The 17459-nt window shown below is 52.1% G+C and overlaps 1 long non-coding RNA gene across 6 annotated transcripts in view, besides 4 other annotated features; it reads left to right on the plus strand.

Moving 5' to 3' along the window:
* LOC101928391 (uncharacterized) overlaps positions 1–17131 on the plus strand; it is a 33828-nt gene extending 16697 nt beyond the window's left edge. For 4 of the 6 annotated variants that reach the window (XR_947110.4, XR_947112.4, XR_947111.4 and 1 more), the window contains 2 exons: positions 9944–10068; positions 11560–12300. This is a non-coding gene — a long non-coding RNA (uncharacterized LOC101928391). Of the gene's footprint in view, positions 1–9943; positions 10069–11559; positions 12301–15157 lie in introns of those variants that run through there. The other 2 variants (XR_007065559.1, XR_947115.2) reach the window with 2 other exon arrangements.
* Positions 1182–1999: an enhancer, noted in NCBI's record as "OCT4-H3K27ac hESC enhancer chr1:27376127-27376944 (GRCh37/hg19 assembly coordinates)". NCBI's record gives its function as "activates a minimal SCP1, AML or CMV promoter by ChIP-STARR-seq in naive H9 embryonic stem cells {active_cell/tissue: H9 hESC(naive)}" and the evidence as "EXISTENCE:reporter gene assay evidence [ECO:0000049][PMID:30033119]".
* Positions 2000–2815: an enhancer, noted in NCBI's record as "H3K27ac-H3K4me1 hESC enhancer chr1:27376945-27377760 (GRCh37/hg19 assembly coordinates)". NCBI's record gives its function as "activates a minimal SCP1, AML or CMV promoter by ChIP-STARR-seq in naive H9 embryonic stem cells {active_cell/tissue: H9 hESC(naive)}" and the evidence as "EXISTENCE:reporter gene assay evidence [ECO:0000049][PMID:30033119]".
* Positions 9584–9878: a silencer, noted in NCBI's record as "tiled region #512; HepG2 Repressive non-DNase unmatched - State 21:Repr". NCBI's record gives its function as "represses a minimal TATA promoter and a strong SV40 promoter by Sharpr-MPRA in HepG2 cells {active_cell/tissue: HepG2}" and the evidence as "EXISTENCE:reporter gene assay evidence [ECO:0000049][PMID:27701403]".
* Positions 10604–10898: a silencer, noted in NCBI's record as "tiled region #8493; HepG2 Repressive non-DNase unmatched - State 21:Repr, and K562 Repressive non-DNase unmatched - State 21:Repr". NCBI's record gives its function as "represses a minimal TATA promoter and a strong SV40 promoter by Sharpr-MPRA in HepG2 and K562 cells {active_cell/tissue: HepG2 | K562}" and the evidence as "EXISTENCE:reporter gene assay evidence [ECO:0000049][PMID:27701403]".
* Positions 17132–17459: the final 328 nt, after the last annotated feature.

Genomic DNA, 17459 nt, shown 5'->3' on the forward strand with positions numbered 1-17459 from the left:
CACTGGCTCATGCCTGCAATCCCAGCACTTTGAGAGGCCAAGGTGGGCTGATTGCTTGAGCCCAGGAGTTCCAGACCAGTCTGGGCAACATGGTGAAACCCCATCTTGACAAAATATAAAAAAATTAGCCAGGCATGGTGGTATGCACGTGTAGTCCTAGCTACTCCAGGGGCTGAGGTGGGAAGATTGCCTGAGCCCAGGGAGGTTGACGCTGCAGTGAGCCATGACTGTGCCACTGCACTCCAGCCTATGCAACAGAGCGAGGTCCTGTCTCAAATATATAAAAGAGCTGGGCGCGGTGGCTCACACCTGTAATCCCAGCACTCTGGGAGGCTGAGGCGGGCGGATCATGAGGTCAGGAGATCGAGACCATCCTGGCTAACACGGTGAAACCCCTTCTCTACTAAATATACAAAAAAATTAGCCGGGCGTGGTGGCAGGTGCCTGTAGTCCCAGCTCCTCGGGAGGCTGAGGTAGGAGAATGGTGTGAACCCAGGAGGTGGAGCTTGCAGTGAGCCGAGATCACACCACTGCACTCCAGCCTGGGCGACAGAGCGAGACTCCATCTCAAAAAAAAAAAAAAAAAAAAAAAAAAATATATATATATACACACACACACACACACACACACACACATATGTATATACACACATATATGTATATATACACACACATATATGTATATATATACACACACACATATATAAAAGAAAAAAGTATTTCAACATGAGTTTTGGTGGAGACAAATAGTCCAACCACAACAATATCCCAAAGTTATTCCATCAGGATGGGTCCCTGGGGGTTTTGTAAAGGCAGTATTTCATTTCCTCAGATGTACTGTGAGAAACTGCTGGAATTTCTGGTTTGGGGAAGGCTGAGGCCCTCAGAGGTCTAGATGAGATTTTTTGGTTTCTTCCTTTGCTGGGAAAAACGGATCAGGATGGCCTCGTTTAGACTGTCAGACACTCTGGGATCCTTGGACTTCCCTCAGGAGAAGAAAAGTTGGACCTTCTACCACCAATAGGAAGGGCACTCAGAAATCCTGGTGATATGGCTCTGATGATTGGAGGAACACCAGGGTCCTTGGTTCTCATGCTGGTTTAGATAAAACGACACAGACACATGTAGAGTTGTTTTAAGGAGTGGAGAGTTTAATAGGCAAGAAGGGAGAAGGCAGAAAGAAGAAGCTCCCCCATACAGAGACAGAGAGAGGAGGACTCCAAAGCTGAGAGAGGGAACCCCAAGTGGGGTGCAAACCAGCCAGGTATATATACAGAGGCTGGAGGAGGCGGTGTCTGATTTGCATGGGGCTCAGGGGATTGGTTTGACCAGGCCTGTCATTCACTTAGCCCGCAAAAAAGCTGGCCCTCCCACCCTAGCCTTTTAATATGCAAATGCAGGGTGCCAGGATGTTTTACACACGTGGGGATATGTGGGGGCAGCCATGTTGCCAGGAACATGTGGGGCAAGAGCAAGAAGGCTGCAGGAATTGCCATGTTGGGTGGACCCAGTTTCTAATGACCTGCATTTGCATATTAAAGGCTTTTCTGGAGATGCTTTAAAAAACAAAAACTTTCCAAGGACTCCTTTTCCTCTCTATCTGCCTAAAATAATTTCTTAATAACTCCTACAACACTAGTATTCTGAATATCAGAGGAACTGTGGATTTAATTTGGCTGTTATGCTGATGAAGCAGGGTGCACCTGAGAGGGCCAGGAATGTTAGCAGCCGTGTCCTATGGCGTGGGCTCCCTCCCTCCGTTTCCAAAGGGGCAGATACAGGAGAAGGTGGAGGGCTCTGCACAGCTGCCTTTGGTGCCTGAAGTCCCACTGAGGCAAATCTGGGCCACACAGCCTCACTCCATTACCGCCTTTATGAGTGATTTCTGGAGATATTCCAAGCCCAGCACATTCTTATCCTCAGGTATTTTAGAGATCTATTCGTAGGGCACAAATCATCCCCAAACTTAGCAGCTTAAAACAATATACATTTGGCCAGGCATGATGGCTCACGCCTGTAATCCCACCACTTTGGGAGGCCAAGGCGGGCGGATCACCTGAGGTCAGGAGTTTGAGATCAGCCTGACCAACATGGAGAAACCCCATCTCTACTAAAAATACAAAAAATTAGCCGGGTGTGGTGGTGCATGCCTGTAATTCCAGCTATTCGGGAGGGTGAGGCAGGAGAATCATTTGAACCTGGGAGGCAGAGGTTGCAGTGAGCCGAGATTGTGCCCCTGCACGCCAGCCTGGGCAACAAGAGTGAAACTCCGTCTCAACAACAACAACAACAACAACAACAACAACAACAAAAACCCCAAAACCAATATACATTTGTATACATTTATCCTCTCACTGAGCTTCTGAGGGTCAGGAATCCAGGAGCAGCTTAGCTGGGTGGCCCTGATTCAGGGTCTCTCTTAAAGTTGTGGTCAAGATGTCAGCTGGGACTGGGCGTGGTGGCTCACGCCTGTAATCCCAGCACTTTGGGAGGCCAAGGCGGGCAGATCATATGAGGTCAGGAGTTTGAGACCAGCCTGGACAACATGGTGAAACACCTTCTCAACTAAAAATACAAAAATTAGCCAGGCATGGTGGCACGCACCTGTAATTCCAGCTACTCAGGAGGCTGAGGCAGGAGAATTATTTGAACCCAGGAGGCAGAGGTTGCAGTGAGCCAAGATCGCGCCATTACACTCCAGCCTGGGTGACAGCAAGAGTCCATCTCAAAAAAAAAAAAAGATGTCAGCTGGGATGACCGACTCCTGAAGGCCTGACTGGGGCTGGAGGATCTGCTCCCAAGGCAGCTCACATAGTTGGCAAGTTGGTGCTGATTGATGACAGGCGGCCTTGGTTCCTCACGCATGGGCTTCTCCACAGGGCTGCTTGTACATCCTCACAACATGGTGGCTGCCCTCCCCAAGAGGAAGCGTTCCAACATGGCAGGGTTGAAGCCACCAATCTCTTTTATGGCCTAGCCTTGAAAATCACACGCTATCACTCCTGCTGTACTCCCTTGGTCACCCAGGCCAACCCTATTTAATGTGAGAGAAGACCACACAAGGTTGTAACTAGCAGGAGGTAGGGGTTGCTGGGGCCATCTTGGAGGCTGGCTACCTCACCAGCCTTTGGGTTAATCTTCAGGTAAATCTTCAAACTTTATACTCAGTGGTTCCCATGCCTCCGAGAACTACCTAAGAGAACCCATTTATGCCTGAGGTTGCAATTTTTTGAATTTTTGCAATGAGACCTTGGCGGTGCCCTTGAGCAGTAGGATATAAATAACTCCCACATGCTTAGTGTTCCAATAATGGAACACTAGGCATAAATGGGTTTAAGCATCTTCTATCCATGAGGGGCTCTGTGTTTGAAGAAGGATGAGGAAGATGCCCCGTGCAGGCCCCACCAACTTCCCAGTGGCTCACTTCCTGCTTTGCCCCTCACTCACTGGCACTTTCTGTGTTTCAGCAGCCTGTTCTGGCCATAGCAAAAAGGGGTCCTCCAGCGACTGCCACAGCTGTTCCAACAACAGCCTCAGCCTTTGGCATTTCATGGTTTCCTCAGGAAACTGACTAGATGAGCCCATTTCTTAGGGACAGCCCAGTTTAAGACCACAGGGACAACCTTGAACCCACTAACTCTATCCTCATCTCACTCTACCAGCCAGCTACAGTGAAGGTTCTTTTGGAGGCCAGTGACAGAAGCCAACTCAGCCAAAAGTGGAATCCAAGGCCGGGCGCGGTGGCTCACGCCTGTAATCCTAGCACTTTGGGAGGCCGAGGTGGGCGTATTACCTGAGCTCAAGAGTTCAAGGCCAGCCTGAGCAACACGGCGAAAACCCGTCTCTACTAAAATACAAAAAATTAGCCGGGCGTGGCGGCATGCGCCTGTAGTCCCAGCTGCCTCGCCTGTAGTCCCAGCTACTTGGGAGGCTGAGGCAGAAGTGCTTGAACCCGGGAGGCGGAGCTTGCAGTGAGCCAACATTGCGCTACTGCTCTCCAGCCTGGGCGACAGAGCGAGACTCCACCTCCAAAAAAAAAAAAAGTGGAATCCAGTGGGAGGGTGCCAGAGTGCGTCACAGTACAAAGGGAAATTGAAGAGCCAAGGCCCAGGAAGGGCAGGGACCAGGGCAGTCCTGTGGATGCTAACAGCGGGGGTTCATGGGCTCTCACTGTGGAGCACAGCTAGACTTGGTACCAGAGACTTGTCTCTGCTCCAATTTCCTGGCAGACAGAATCTAATTGGCTCAGCCGTGTCAGGTGCCCATCCCTGGTCCAATCAGCAATGGCGGGGTAGGGGTGGACTCCCAGCCATGATGGCGTAGGGGTGGGGCAGGTCCTAGGGCAGTTAACACAGCTGAGGGCCAAGAAACTCACTAGGAGGATAGCTACTCAAGGAAGAGGTTTGTTCTGTGTAGAAAAAAGGATCTGAGATATTAGGGTGGTCCAAGAGCCCATGACACCCCCCCTCCCTTTTCTAGGATCTTCCTGAGATTCTGAGAACCACTCACTAATTTAAGAACCTTAGCTCTCGGCCGGCCGTGCTGGCTCACGCCTGTAATCCCAGCACTTTGGGAGGCCGAGGTGGGCGGATCACCTGAGGTCAGGAGTTCGAGATCAGCCTGGCCAACATGGTGAAACTCCGTCTCCACTAAAAATACAAAATTAGCCGGGCGTGGTGGCGCATGCCTGTAGTCCCAGCTACTCGGGAGGCTGAGGCAGGAGAATCGCTTGAACCCGGGAAGCAGAGGTTGCGGTGAGCCGAGACCACGCCATTGCACTCCAGCCTGGGCAACAAGAGCGAAACTCTGTCTCAAAAAACAAAAAGAAAAAAAAAAGAAAAAGAACCTTTCCTCTCACCTATTCTTCCCCTGTGAATATCCTTCCCAGATTCTGGCACCCACTTATGGGCTTCAAAGTCACTTAAAATGTCGTTCAAAGACCACTTGTTTTAGAATCACCTGGGAAGTATGTTAAAAATACAGGTTCCAGGCCCGGTGCCATGACTCACGCCTGCAATCCCAGCACTTTGGGAGGCCAAGGCAGGTGGATCAATTGAGCTCAGAAGTTCGAGACCAGCCTGGGCAACATGGCAAAACCCTATCACTACAAAAAATACGAAAAATTAGCCAGGCGTGATGGCAAGCGCCTGTGATCCCAGCTACTTGCAGGGCTGAGGCGAGAGGATCACCTGAGCCCAGGAGGTCGAGGCTGCAGTGAGCCATGTTTGCACCACTGCACTCCAGCCTGGATGACAGACTGAGACCCTGTCTCCCAAAAAAAAAAAAAAAAAAAAAAAAATTAGCCAGGCATGCCTGTAATCCCAGCTATTTGGGAGGCTGAGGCAAGAGAATCGCTTGAACCCAGGAAGCAGAGGTTGCAGTGAGCCGAGATCACGCCACTGCATTCCAGCCTGGGCAACAGAGCTAGACTCCGTCTCAAAACAAAGAAAAAAACAAGTTCTAGACATCGGGCCTAGGAATCTATATTTAAACCTGCTCTATAAGCGATCCAGATGCACAGCAAAGGTTGAGAAGTGTTTCAGATGTAGCTTCATCCCAGCTCCCAAAGTGCCGCAAATTGCACAAAGTGCTGGTGCTCACTGGAAGGCCACATCCTCGACCCCAATCCTCTCCACCATGCCCTGACCATCTCCTTGATCTTGTCCCAGCACTGTCTAGCGAGACCTCAAGTCCCTCTCCTAGCAGGAGCCTGGGCCCCTGGGATAGGCAATTTTTGCTCTAACCCTACTCCTGATACCATCTTTTTTTTTCCTCTCCTTTCTTTTTCTTTCTGTTCTGATTCTCACCAACGTTCATTTTTAATTTTATCATTTAAAAATCTTTTATAGTTATGTAAACAACTTCAAACTTTTTTCCAGAGCTAGGTGATGAATAACCAAATAGGGGAAGGAATTTCAATTGCCCCTAATCCTATATTAGTCCCTGTGCAGATGGGCCTAATGAGTACTGCACCAGGATTTCTAATTATCCTTAATGAGCTCCTAAAATTCATGGGGCATGATAGAATGAGGTTGATTGTTAATCAAATGGCCCAATGAATCAAGCCTCCTGGTATCTACGCCCTTGGATAGGCCCCTCCCATGGTGACTCTGGGATTGGCCACGTGACTTGCTTTGGCTAGTGGGACATCAGTGACTATGACACAGAGGCCAGATAAGTGCTTGTGATTTGGGGCTTACTCTGTTAGCACTGTCCTGGAACCACCATGTGAGGAAACCTAGGCTACATGGTCATCCTTGAGGATGAAAGATCTCATGAAGAGTGAGGCTTAACCATCCCCACCATCCCAGCTGAACCTAGCCCACAGCCATTCTTCCAGCTGAACGTAGCTGCACAAGTAAGCCCTGGAAAAATCAGCAGAAGAATGCAGCCAACCCACATTTTCATGAGAAATAAAAAAACATTACTGTTTTAAGCCTAAGTCTTGGGTGGTTTGTTATGCAGCAACAGCGAACTGATACAATGGGTCGCAGAAACACTCACAGGACAGTATTTCTGTGCTGCTATTTCCACTTGATATTCTGGAGCTTCATGTAGATCTGTTGCAGTGAAGCAATAAAACAATACAGTGGCTTAAACAAGATTGTTTGTTTTCTTGTATGTAAGAGGTCGGAGTTAGGTCTTCATGTTTTCATGTCTGGTGGGTCAACTGTGCCCACCTTCAAAATGGCCCTTCTGGCTGGGCATGGTGGCTCACATCTGTAATCCCAGTACCTTGGGAGACAGAAGTGGGCATATCACTTGAGCTCAGGAATTTGAGGCCAGTCTGGGCAACATAGTGAGACCCCGTCTCTACTAAAAATACAAAAAATAAGCTGGGCGGCTGGGCGCAGTGGCTCACGCCTGTAATCCCAGCACTTTGGGAGGCCGAGGCGGGTAGATCACGAGGGCAGAAGTTCAAGACTAGCCTGGCCACGATGGTGAAACCCCGATTCTACTAAAAATACAAGAATTAGCTGGGTGTGGTGGTGGGGGCCTGTAATACCAGCTATTCTGGAGGCTGAGGCAGAGAATTGCTTGAACCTGGGAGGTGGAGGTTGCAGTGAGCCGAAATCGCACCACTGCACTCCAGCCTGGGCGACAGAGTGAGACTCCGTCTCAAAAAAAATAAAATAAAATAAAATAAGCTGGGTATGGTGGCCCACACCTCTAGTCCCAGCTACTCCGGAGGCTGAGGTAGGAGGATTGCTTGAGTCCAGGAGGTGGAGGTTGCAGTGAGCTGTGATCACACCATTGCACCCCAGCCTGGGTGACAGAGTGAGACCCTGTTTCAAAAAAAAAAAAAACAGAGACAGAAGAGTGAGGTGGGAAAATACCCAATCCTTTGGCACGTATCACTTCGATTCATATTTCTTTGCTAAAGCTTGGGCCCATGGCTTCACCTAGTTGCAAGGGAAACTGGGAAATGTACTTTCTTTCTTCTTCTTCTTCTTTTTTTTGAGATGAAGAGTCTCGCTCGCTCCGTCGCCCAGACTGGAGTGCAATGGCGTGATCTCGGCTCACTGCAACCTCCGCCTCCTGTGTTTAAGCAATTCTCCTGCCTCACCCTCCCAAGTAGCTGGGATTACAGGCACTGGCCACCACACCCGGCCAATTTTTTGTATTTTTAGTAGAGACGGGGTTTCATCATGTTCGCCAGGCTAGTCTTGAACTCCTGACCTCAAGTGATCCACCCGCCTCCGCCTCCCAAAGTGCTGGGATTACAGGTGTGAGCCACCAGGCCCGGCCTGGGAAATGTGCTTTCTAGCCACGCAGCATGTGCCCAGCTAAAATATGGCCATTCTATTTATTAAAGAGAGAAGGAGAAACTACGCATTTGAGGATGACTAGCAGTCAATGCTGTGTAATCTGCCTCCAGGGTTCTCAGCAGTGTTCTCAGTAAATATGAGTATCCCATGGATTAGGTGGTTTAATTTCTTATCATAAAACAATCATAAGTATCAAGTTTTTATCTATGAATTGGTTAGGGAGATTTAGGCTGCAAGTAACAGAATACTAAGCTAAAAGTTGTCTAAAGAGTTGGGAGTTTCCTAGCTTAGCCAACATAAGAGGAGACCTCTATCTTTACAAATAATTTTTTTTTTTTTTTTTTTTTTGGAGACAGAGGCTTGCTCTGTTGCCCAGGCTGGAGCGCAGTGGTGCGATCTCGGCTCACTGCAACCTCCACCTCCCGGGTTCAAGTGATTCTTCTGCCTCAGCCTCCCAAGTAGCTGGGACTACAGGCACATACCACCACGCCTGGCTAATTTTTGTATTTTTAGTAGAGATGGGGTTTCCTCATGTTGGCCAGGCTGGTCTTGAACTCCTGAACTCGTGATCTGCCCGCCTCAGCCTCCCAAAGTGCTGGGATTACAGGCGTGAGCCACTGTGCCCGGCCTTCTCCGAATAATTTTTTTAAATGAGCCAGGTGCGGTGGTATGTGCCTGTGGTCCCAGCTACTCAGGAGGCTGAGGCAGGAGGATCGTCTGAGCCTGGGAGGTCAAGGCTGCAGTGAGCCATGATCACACCACTACAGTCCAGCCTCCAGCCTCTGCAATGGAGTGAGAGTGTCTCAAAAAAAAAAAAAAAAAAAAAAAAACACAACAAAAAAACCCCACAGGACTTTTATCTTAAGATATCTTGGGGTAGACCATTTTTGAGTCAAGGCCCTCATGGTTGAAAGATGACTACCGTGGCTCCAAGCATCATATCCACAGAGAGCAACTAAATAACAGCTGTTATATATTGAGTACTTATCATGTGCTAGAACTGTCTGGGCATTTTAGGTGTATTCACTCATTTGATTTTCACAGCACCCTGAGAAGAAAGTCCAATTATTTTCATTTTGCAGAGGAGGAACACGAGGTACAGAAAGGTCAAGTAATCTGCTTAAGACAACACAGCCAATCGGAGGCAGAGCCATGCTTTTAGCCCAGATGGTTTGACCCTGGAGCCTGCACTTTTGTGTGGCTGCATTTGCCACGGGCAGCATCTCAGGAAGGGAGGCTTGGACAGGGGTCCTCCTAAAACATCTCTTTTTGTAAGAGGAGGAAAATTCCTCCCAGAAGCCCCCAGCAGCCTCCCCCTCTTATCTCATTGGCCAGAACAGGGTCCCATGGTTCTCCCCAACCCAATTACCAGCAGAGGGGAGTGGATCAAATGTAAATATCCCAGTCACCATCCACCTGGGGGTAATTAGTACATTGTCCTCCCACCAGAACAAAACAAGCTTCTTTTAGCAAGGAAGCGGGGGGGCAAATATCTGCCCCTAGGCAGAACCCATGGTTGGTAGCTGGGGTCCGCCAGCCCACTGGGATTGAAATAAGGTTGGCTCAGACCCCATCCCTTACTTTCCACAAGGCTTCTGCAATTTCTCAGGCTTACAATTGTGTGCCTCTGATTTCCGGCTTCTGCTGAATTCTAGCAGCTGTTCCCTTTATTTCTGCCCTGGAATTGACTCAAATGTAGGATGCAGCCCGTTTCTTCTCCCAAGAAACCGTGGATACCAGACTGCTCTGTAAGCAGAATTTCACTAAGATTTGTGGGTCCCTGGAAGAGTTATAGAGTGGCTCAGCACACGACTGAAAGTGGCACTGGGACGTCTCTGCTCTTACAAGCTGGTTTCTCAGGCATCCTCCAGCCCCGCCCGCACAGGGCTGCTGCTCCCATCTGCTGGCGCCCATGCCCATCTACCCGCCTCCCTTCTTCAGCCCCTGCGTGACAGACACCTCGATGCCCCAGGGGCTTCCAATTCTCACACAGGAGACCCTGCATTTCAGCTCTCCCTAGCCCCTCCTGCTCTTCCCAAACCAGGCTGCCAAGCCAAACCCAGTAAGGGCCTTTTAAGAACAAAAGGGCCTTTTAGTTAATGCAGCAGGATCTACTTTCCTTAGAAGGAAGCTTTGGTTATAAATAACAACCTTTCCCCTCTGGATTCCTCCAGGTGCATTGGAAATTCAAATTTCAGAATAAGCTGACTGCCAAGAGGGCCCTCCCCCTGTCGGGAGTCCCTTAGTCCATGGGAAATTCACAGAGAAGGAAACAGTCACTTTTCCTGCACCTGAGAAGGTAAAAATCAAACTGCCTTAGAAAGATTCTGTCCTCCTAAAAACTGGTGCCTCTGTACACCTCAAGGAGTCAGCAGGCTCTCCCTCCGAGGCTTAAAAGCCTCAGGGATTTCTTTTTTTCTTTTTTTCTTTTTTTTTTTTTGAGACGGAGTCTCGCTCTGTCACCCAGGCTGGAGTGCAGTGGCGCGGTCTTGGCTCACTGCAACCTCTGCCTGCCGGGTTCAAGTGATTCTCCTGCCTCAGCCACCTGTGAGCCACCGTGCCAGCCAGCCTCAGTGATTTCTTAGGAGCCTGTTGTATGCAATCTTGAGGGCTGAAGAAGTGAGAGGGACCCACCCCATCCTACCTCTACAGAATGCTTGGCACCCCCACCAATGTTCCTAGACTCCATCTCAGGACCAAGGTAGTGTAGACCCAAAGCCCGGCCCTATCCTGGCTCCCAAGCATCCCACAGCCTCTGGGGTAGAGGTGGTTAGAGGCACCAGCTCTAGACCTTGGCTGCCTTCTGTCTGCCCTCAGGGTCTGCTCAGATCAGGACACCCCCTCCCCCAGGCTGGGGCTCAGCCTCAGCATCCTTGGCAGGGCTCCCCACAGGGGCATTTCCACAACTTTCCAGCCCTGGCCTCCTGTTCAAGGGTTCGGCCTCAGGCAGGACTAGAGCTGAGTTGCAGAGGAGGAGGAGGAGCGGGGAGAGAGCCGAGTAGTTCAGGTTGCCGCAGGGGAGACAGGAGGGAGGAGAAGAGAAGGAGGGGAGGGAGCGAAGGTCCTCAGAACCCAAGTGCGGGGCAGCCTCAGGAAGGTGACTTCTGTTATTCTCCCTGTGTGCTGTGTCTTTAGGAAAATCCCCCTCACACGACAGCCCAACAGCCTTATACCCGCAGTTGCTCTGGGAGCAGGGGAAAATGTCCTGCAGTTCTTGCCCCTCATTTGGGTCAACTCCAGGACAGAAGTAAAGGCGACAGCTGCAAGGAATCAGCAGAAGCAGGACAGCAGCCATGAGCACATGAGCCCCCAGAGCTGGCAGAAACCTTGGAGGCTTTGTGTAGCTACAGTGATGGCCACGTCTGGGCTGGCACTCACCTTATGCCAGTCTCTAGGGAGGAGCCCGCATTTGCAGGCTGGGTTACATCTTTTCCCCTCTTCCACGCTGGGATTCTTTTTTTTTTTTTTTTTTTTTTTTGAGACAGAGTCTCGCTCTGTCGCCCAGGCTGGAGTGCAGTGGTGCGATCTCGGCTCACTGCAAACTCCGCCTCCCAGGTTCAAGCAATTCTCCTGCCTCAGCCTCCGGAGTAGCTGGGATTACAGGCACCCACCCCCATGCCCGGCTAATTTTTGTATTTTTAGTAGAGACAGGGTTTCGCCATGTTGGCCAAGCTAGTCTCAAACTCCTGACCTCAGGTGATCCGCCTGCCTTGGCCTCCCAAAGTGCGGGGATTACAAGCATGAGCCACCGTGCCCGGCCTGGAAATTGTTTTTTTTTTTAAACCCTCAGGTGATTCTGACTCTCCTGGAACCTGAGAACCACCAGTCTACGGGAACAGAGCCCTGCTTTGGGTCAGGTGTGTATAACTATGGTATTCCCTTTCTTCTCTGCCTCTATTGTTGATGTTGTTTTTTTGTTTTTTGTTTTTTTTTGAAACGGAGTCTCGCTGTTGCCCAGGCTGGAGTGCAGTGGCGCAATCTCGGCTCACTACAATCTCCGCCTCTGGGGTTCACGCCATTCTCCTGCCTCAGCCTCCCGAGTAGCTGGTAAGGGAGGAGACCACCCCTCACATTGTCTTATGCCCAATTTCTGCCTCCAAAGAAAGAAGTAAAAACTAAAAGGCAGAAATGAAATCCACAGGCAGACAGCCCGGCGCTGCACCCTGGGCCTGGTAGTTAAAGATCGACCCCTGACCTAATCAGTTATGTTGTCTATAGATTACAGACATTGTATAGAAATGCACTGTGAAAATCCCTATCTGTTTTGTTCCGATCTAGTTACCAGTGCATGCAGACCCCAGTCACGTACCCCTTGCTTGCTCAATCAATCCCGACCCCCTCACACGCACCCTCCTTAGAGTTGTGAGCCCTTAAAAGGGATAGGAATTGCTCACTCGGGGAGCTCGGCTCTCGAGACAGGAGTCTTGCCGATGCCCCCAGCCGATTAAACCCCTTCCTTCAACTCGGTGTCTGAGGAGTTTTGTCTGCAGCTCGTCCTGCTACACTGGGACTACAGGCGCTCGCCACCACGCCCGGCTAATTTTTTATATTTTTTAGTAGAGGCAGGGTTTCACCGTGTTAGCCAGGATGGTCTCGATTGCCTGACCTCATGATCCGCCTGCCTTGGCCTCCCAAAGTGTTGGGATTACAGGCGTGAGCCACCGCGCCCGGCCCCACTCTCTACCTCTGTTTGTTTAGGGGCAGGCATAGAATCCCATTCTAGTCAATGAGACAGAAAGGGGTTCTGGAAAGTTCCCCCACCCCCTTATAAAACAAGGAGGACGTCTTCAAGGAGGACGTCTGAGGAGAAGCTTTGCCGTGGCCTTTTGCCTTTGGATGCTGCCAGAGGGGTTAGAAGGCGGAGCTCCACAGTCAGGCAGCTGGGGTGTGTATCCTAGCGGGGAGAGCAAGAGACAGTGGGACAAAAATAATAACAGTAATAGCAGCAATGCTTCTTGAGGACTTTCCGCATGGCAGGCCCTATTCTAAGCACCTCATGTAGCATATTTTACCCTCAAACAGTCCTGAGGTAGGTTCTGTTATTGCGATTTTATAAATGAGGAAACTGAAGCACAGACAAGTTTAAATAACTCGTTCAAAGTCATACAGCTCATACATGGAGGCCAGCATGCAGGCCAGGTGTGTGGGGTATGGGCATTGCGGGCTACTTTAGGGACCCTGACCTTTTCCTCAGCATAGTGGGAAGCTGGTGAAAGGTTTTAAGCAGGGGTGGCCCCTCTGATTTACCTTTTTTTTTTTTTTTTTTTTTTTGAGACAGTGTCTCACTCTGTTGCCCAGGCTGGAGCGCACTGGTGAGATCTTGGCTCACTGCAGCCTCAAACTCCTGGGCTCAAGTGATCCTCCCACCTCAGCCTCCTGAGAAGCTGGGACTACAGGCAAATGCTACAGTGGCTGGCTACTTTTTGTAAAGACGGAGTTTCACCATGTTACCCAGGCTGGTTTTGAACTCCTGAGCTCAAGCAATCCGTCCACCTCTGCCTCCCAAAGTGCTGGGATTACACGCATGAGCCACCACATCTGGCCTGATTTACTTTTAAAAGTCACTGAAATGCTTTGCTCCTAAATTCTCTGCTGGGGACAAGCCAGCCACACTTGCACGGCCTGTTCTTCAGCCTCTTTTCCTCCCTGAGACATCAGTCCCTTAGCAAACCCAGCGTCTTGGGTGACTGGGACCAGGGTGACTCAATGGCAGATGCTGATGGGTGAGACAGCCACAAAGATGATCTTTGGAGAGTGAGTTATAGGTGATTTGTTTTATTTAATTTTTAATTTTTTTATTTTTTTTTGAGACAGAGTCTCACTCTGTCGCCCAGGCTGGAGTGCAGTGGCGTGATCTCAGCTCACTGCAACCTCCTCCTCCCGGTTCAAGCTACTCTCCTGACTCAGCCTCCAGAGTAGCTGAGATTCCAGGCATGTGCCACCACACCCAGCTAATCTTTGTATTTTTAGTATAGACAGGGTTTCACCATATTGGCCAGGCTGGTCTCCAACTCCTGACCTCAAGTGATCCACCAACCTTGGCCTCCCAAAGTGTTGGGATTACAGGAGTGAGCCACCACCTCTGGCCAGGTGATTCGTTTTAAATCTGAATTTTTACATTTTTTTATAATAAGTGACCATATATCACTTGCTATTTAAAAAAAAATTTTTTTTGAGATGGAGTTTCACCCTTGTTGCCCAGGCTGGAGTGCAATGGCATGATCTTGGGCCACTGCAATCTCCGCCTCCCGGGTTCGAGCGATTCTCCTGCCTCAGCCTCCAAGTAGCTGGGACTACAGGCATGTGCCACCACGCCCAGATAATTTTTGTATTTTTAGTAGAGGCAGGGTTTCACCATGTTGGCCAGGCTGGTCTCAAACTCCTGACCTCCGGTGATTCTCCTGCCTTGGCCTCCCAAAGTGCTGGGATTACAGGCATGAGCCACCGTGCCCAGCCAAAAGTCATTATTTATAAAAAGAAAGATGAGGGGCCAGCACCCCACCCTCCCCAGGGTTGTTGACTCCTGCTGGTACTGGCTGTGGCTGAAGTCATCATCATGGAGGCTAACCCTTGGAGGGTAGATAGTGCAGTGGCAGCATCCTAAGGGCTTTATGTGACCTGTATGAACTCATTTAATCCCCACTGGCTTGGCCAAGGCCACAGAGCTGAAGAGTGGCAGGCTAGCGTCCGGACTCTCAGCTATGTACCAGGCTGCTTTTCTGGAAATGTTTTCCAGTTCCCCCGTGGGTGAAAGGCCTGTCCTTCCCACACCTTCCACAGTGGAAGTGGCCTCCATTCTCTGCTGTGCAGAATTGCTGGTGGAGAAGTGGGTGTTGGGGAGCTGGGGGCAGGAAATAGAAGATATTGGACAGAAATGTCCTGCAGTTGTTTGAAGCCTAAACAAAAACCCTTTCTTGGCCAGGTGCGGTGGCTCATGCCTATAATCCTGGCACTTTGGGAGGCTGAGGTGGGCCGATCACTTGAGGTCAGGAGTTCAAAACCAGCCTGGCTAACATGGTGAAACTCCATCTATTCTAAAAATACAAAAATTAGCCGAGTGTGGTGGTGGGTGCCTGTAATCCCAGCTACTCGGGAGGCTGAGGCAGGAGAATCACTTGAACCCGGGAGGCAGAGGTTGCAGTGAGCTGAGATCGCGCCTCTGCACTCCAGCCTGGGTGACAGAGCGAGACTCCTCTCAAAAAAAAACAAACTCGTCCCTCTCCCTCTCCCTCTCCCTCTCCCTCTCCCTCCACGGTCTCCCTCTGATGCCGAGCCGAGGCTGGACGGTACTGCTGCCATCTCGGCTCGCTGCAGCCTCCCTGCCTGATTCTCCTGCCTCAGCCTGCCCAGTGCCACGCCTGACTGGTTTTCGTTTTTTTTTGGTGGAGACGGGGTTTCGCCGGGCTGGTCTCCGCTCCTGACCGCGAGTGATCCGCCGGCCTCGGCCTCCCGAGGTGCCGGGATTGCAGATGGAGTCTCGTTCACTCGGTGCTCAATGGTGCCCAGGCTGGAGTGCAGTGGCGTGATCTCGGCTCGCTACAACCACCTCCCAGCCGCCTGCCTTGGCCTCCCGAAGAGCCGAGATTGCAGCCTCTGCCCGGCCGCCACCCCGTCTGGGAAGTGAGGAGCGTCTCTGCTTGGCCGCCCATCGTCTGGGATATGAGGAGCCCCTCTGCCTGGCTGCCCAGTCTGGAGGGTGAGGAGTGTCTCTGCCCGGCCGCCATCCCATCTAGGAAGCGAGGAGCGCCTCTTCCCCGCCGCCATCCCATCTAGGAAGTGAGGAGCGTCTCTGCCCGGCCGCCCATCGTCTGAGATGTGGGGAGCGCCTCTGCCCCGCCGCCCTGTCTGGGATGTGAGGAGCGCCTCTGCTGGGCCGCAACCCTGTCTGGGAGGTGAGGAGCGTCTCTGCCCGGCCGCTCCGTCTGAGAAGTGAGGAAACCCTCTGCCTGGCAACCGCCCCGTCTGAGAAGTGAGGAGCCCCTCCGTCCGGCAACCACCCTGTCTGGGAAGTGAGGAGCGTCTCCGCCCGGCAGCCACCCCGTCCGGGAGGGAGGTGGGGGGGGTCAGCCCCCCGCCCGGCCAGCCGCCCCGTCCGGGAGGTGAGGGGCTCCTCTGCCCGGCCGCCCCTACTGGGAAGTGAGGAGCCCCTCTGCCCGGCCAGTCGCCCCGTCCAGGAGGGAGGTGAGGGGGTCAGCCCCCCGCCCGGCCAGCCGCCCCGTCCGGAAGGGGGGGGGGGTCAGCCCCCCGCCCGGCCAGCCGCCCCGTCCGGGAGGGAGGTGGGGGGATCAGCCCCCCGCCTGGCCAGCCGCCCTGTCCGGGAGGTGAGGGGCGCCTCTGCCCGGCCGCCCCTACTGGGAAGTGAGGAGCCCCTCTGCCCGGCCAGCCGCCCCGTCCGGGAGGGAGGCGGGGGGGGGTCGGCCAGCCGCCCCGTCCGGGAGGGAGGTGGGGGGGTCAGCCCCCCTTCCGGCCGGCCGCCCCGTCCGGGAGGTGAGGGGCGCCTCTGCCCGGCCGCCCCTACTGGGAAGTGAGGACCCCTCTGCCCGGCCAGCCGCCCCGTCCGGGAGGGAGGTGGGGGGGACAGCCCCCCGCCCGGCCGGCCGCCCTATCCAGGAGGTGAGGGGCGCCTCTGCCCGGCCGCCCCTACTGGGAAGTGAGGAGCCCCTCTGCCTGGCCAGCCGCCCCGTCCGGGAGGGAGGTGGGGGGGACAGCCCCCCGCCCGGCCAGCCGCCCCATCCGGGAGGTGAGGGGCGCTTCTGCCCGGCCGCCCCTACTGGGAAGTGAGGAGCCCCTCTGCCCGGCCACAACCCCGTCTGGGAGGTGTGCCCAGCGGCTCATTGGGGATGGGCCATGATGACAATGGCGGTTTTGTGGAATAGAAAGGCGGGAAGGGTGGGGAAAAGATTGAGAAATCGGATGGTTGCCGGGTCTGTGTGGATAGAAGTAGACATGGGAGACTTTTCATTTTGTTCTGTACTAAGAAAAATTCTTCTGCCTTGGGATCCTGTTGATCTGTGACCTTATCCCCAACCCTGTGCTCTCTGAAACATGTGCTGTGTCCACTCAGGGTTAAATGGATTAAGGGCGGTGCAAGATGTGCTTTGTTAAACAGATGCTTGAAGGCAGCATGCTCGTTAAGAGTCATCACCACTCCCTAATCTTAAGTACCCAGGGACACAAACACTGCGGAAGGCCGCAGGGTCCTCTGCCTAGGAAAACCAGAGACCTTTGTTCACTTGTTTATCTGCTGACCTTCCCTCCACTATTGTCCTATGACCCTGCCAAATCCCCCTCTGCGAGAAACACCCAAGAATGATCAATAAAAAAAAAAAAAATAAATAAAAAATAAAGGCACTGAAAAAAAAAAAAAAAACAAACAAACTCATTCTTGTGGTGTCAGCCCACAGAGCCGTCACCTTAGATAGGCTCTGCCCTTCTTGGGACCCTAGGCTCCTGGATCTGTTGCAGTATGAGTGGGGTGGGAGGGGTGGTCATTTGAGGGATGTAGACACCTGATAATTATGGTTAAGAATTTGTAGGCCGGGTGCAGTGGCTCACGCCTATAATCCCAGCACTCTGGGGGGCTGAGGCGGACGGATCACAAGGTCAGGAGTTCAAGACCAGCCTGACCAACATGGTGAAACCCCATCTCTACTAAAAATACAAAAATTAGCTGGGCATGGTGGCATGAGC

The sequence above is a fragment of the Homo sapiens genome, chromosome 1 (assembly GCF_000001405.40).
Source record: "Homo sapiens chromosome 1, GRCh38.p14 Primary Assembly".
In the NCBI taxonomy this organism is placed as follows: domain Eukaryota; kingdom Metazoa; phylum Chordata; class Mammalia; order Primates; family Hominidae; genus Homo; species Homo sapiens.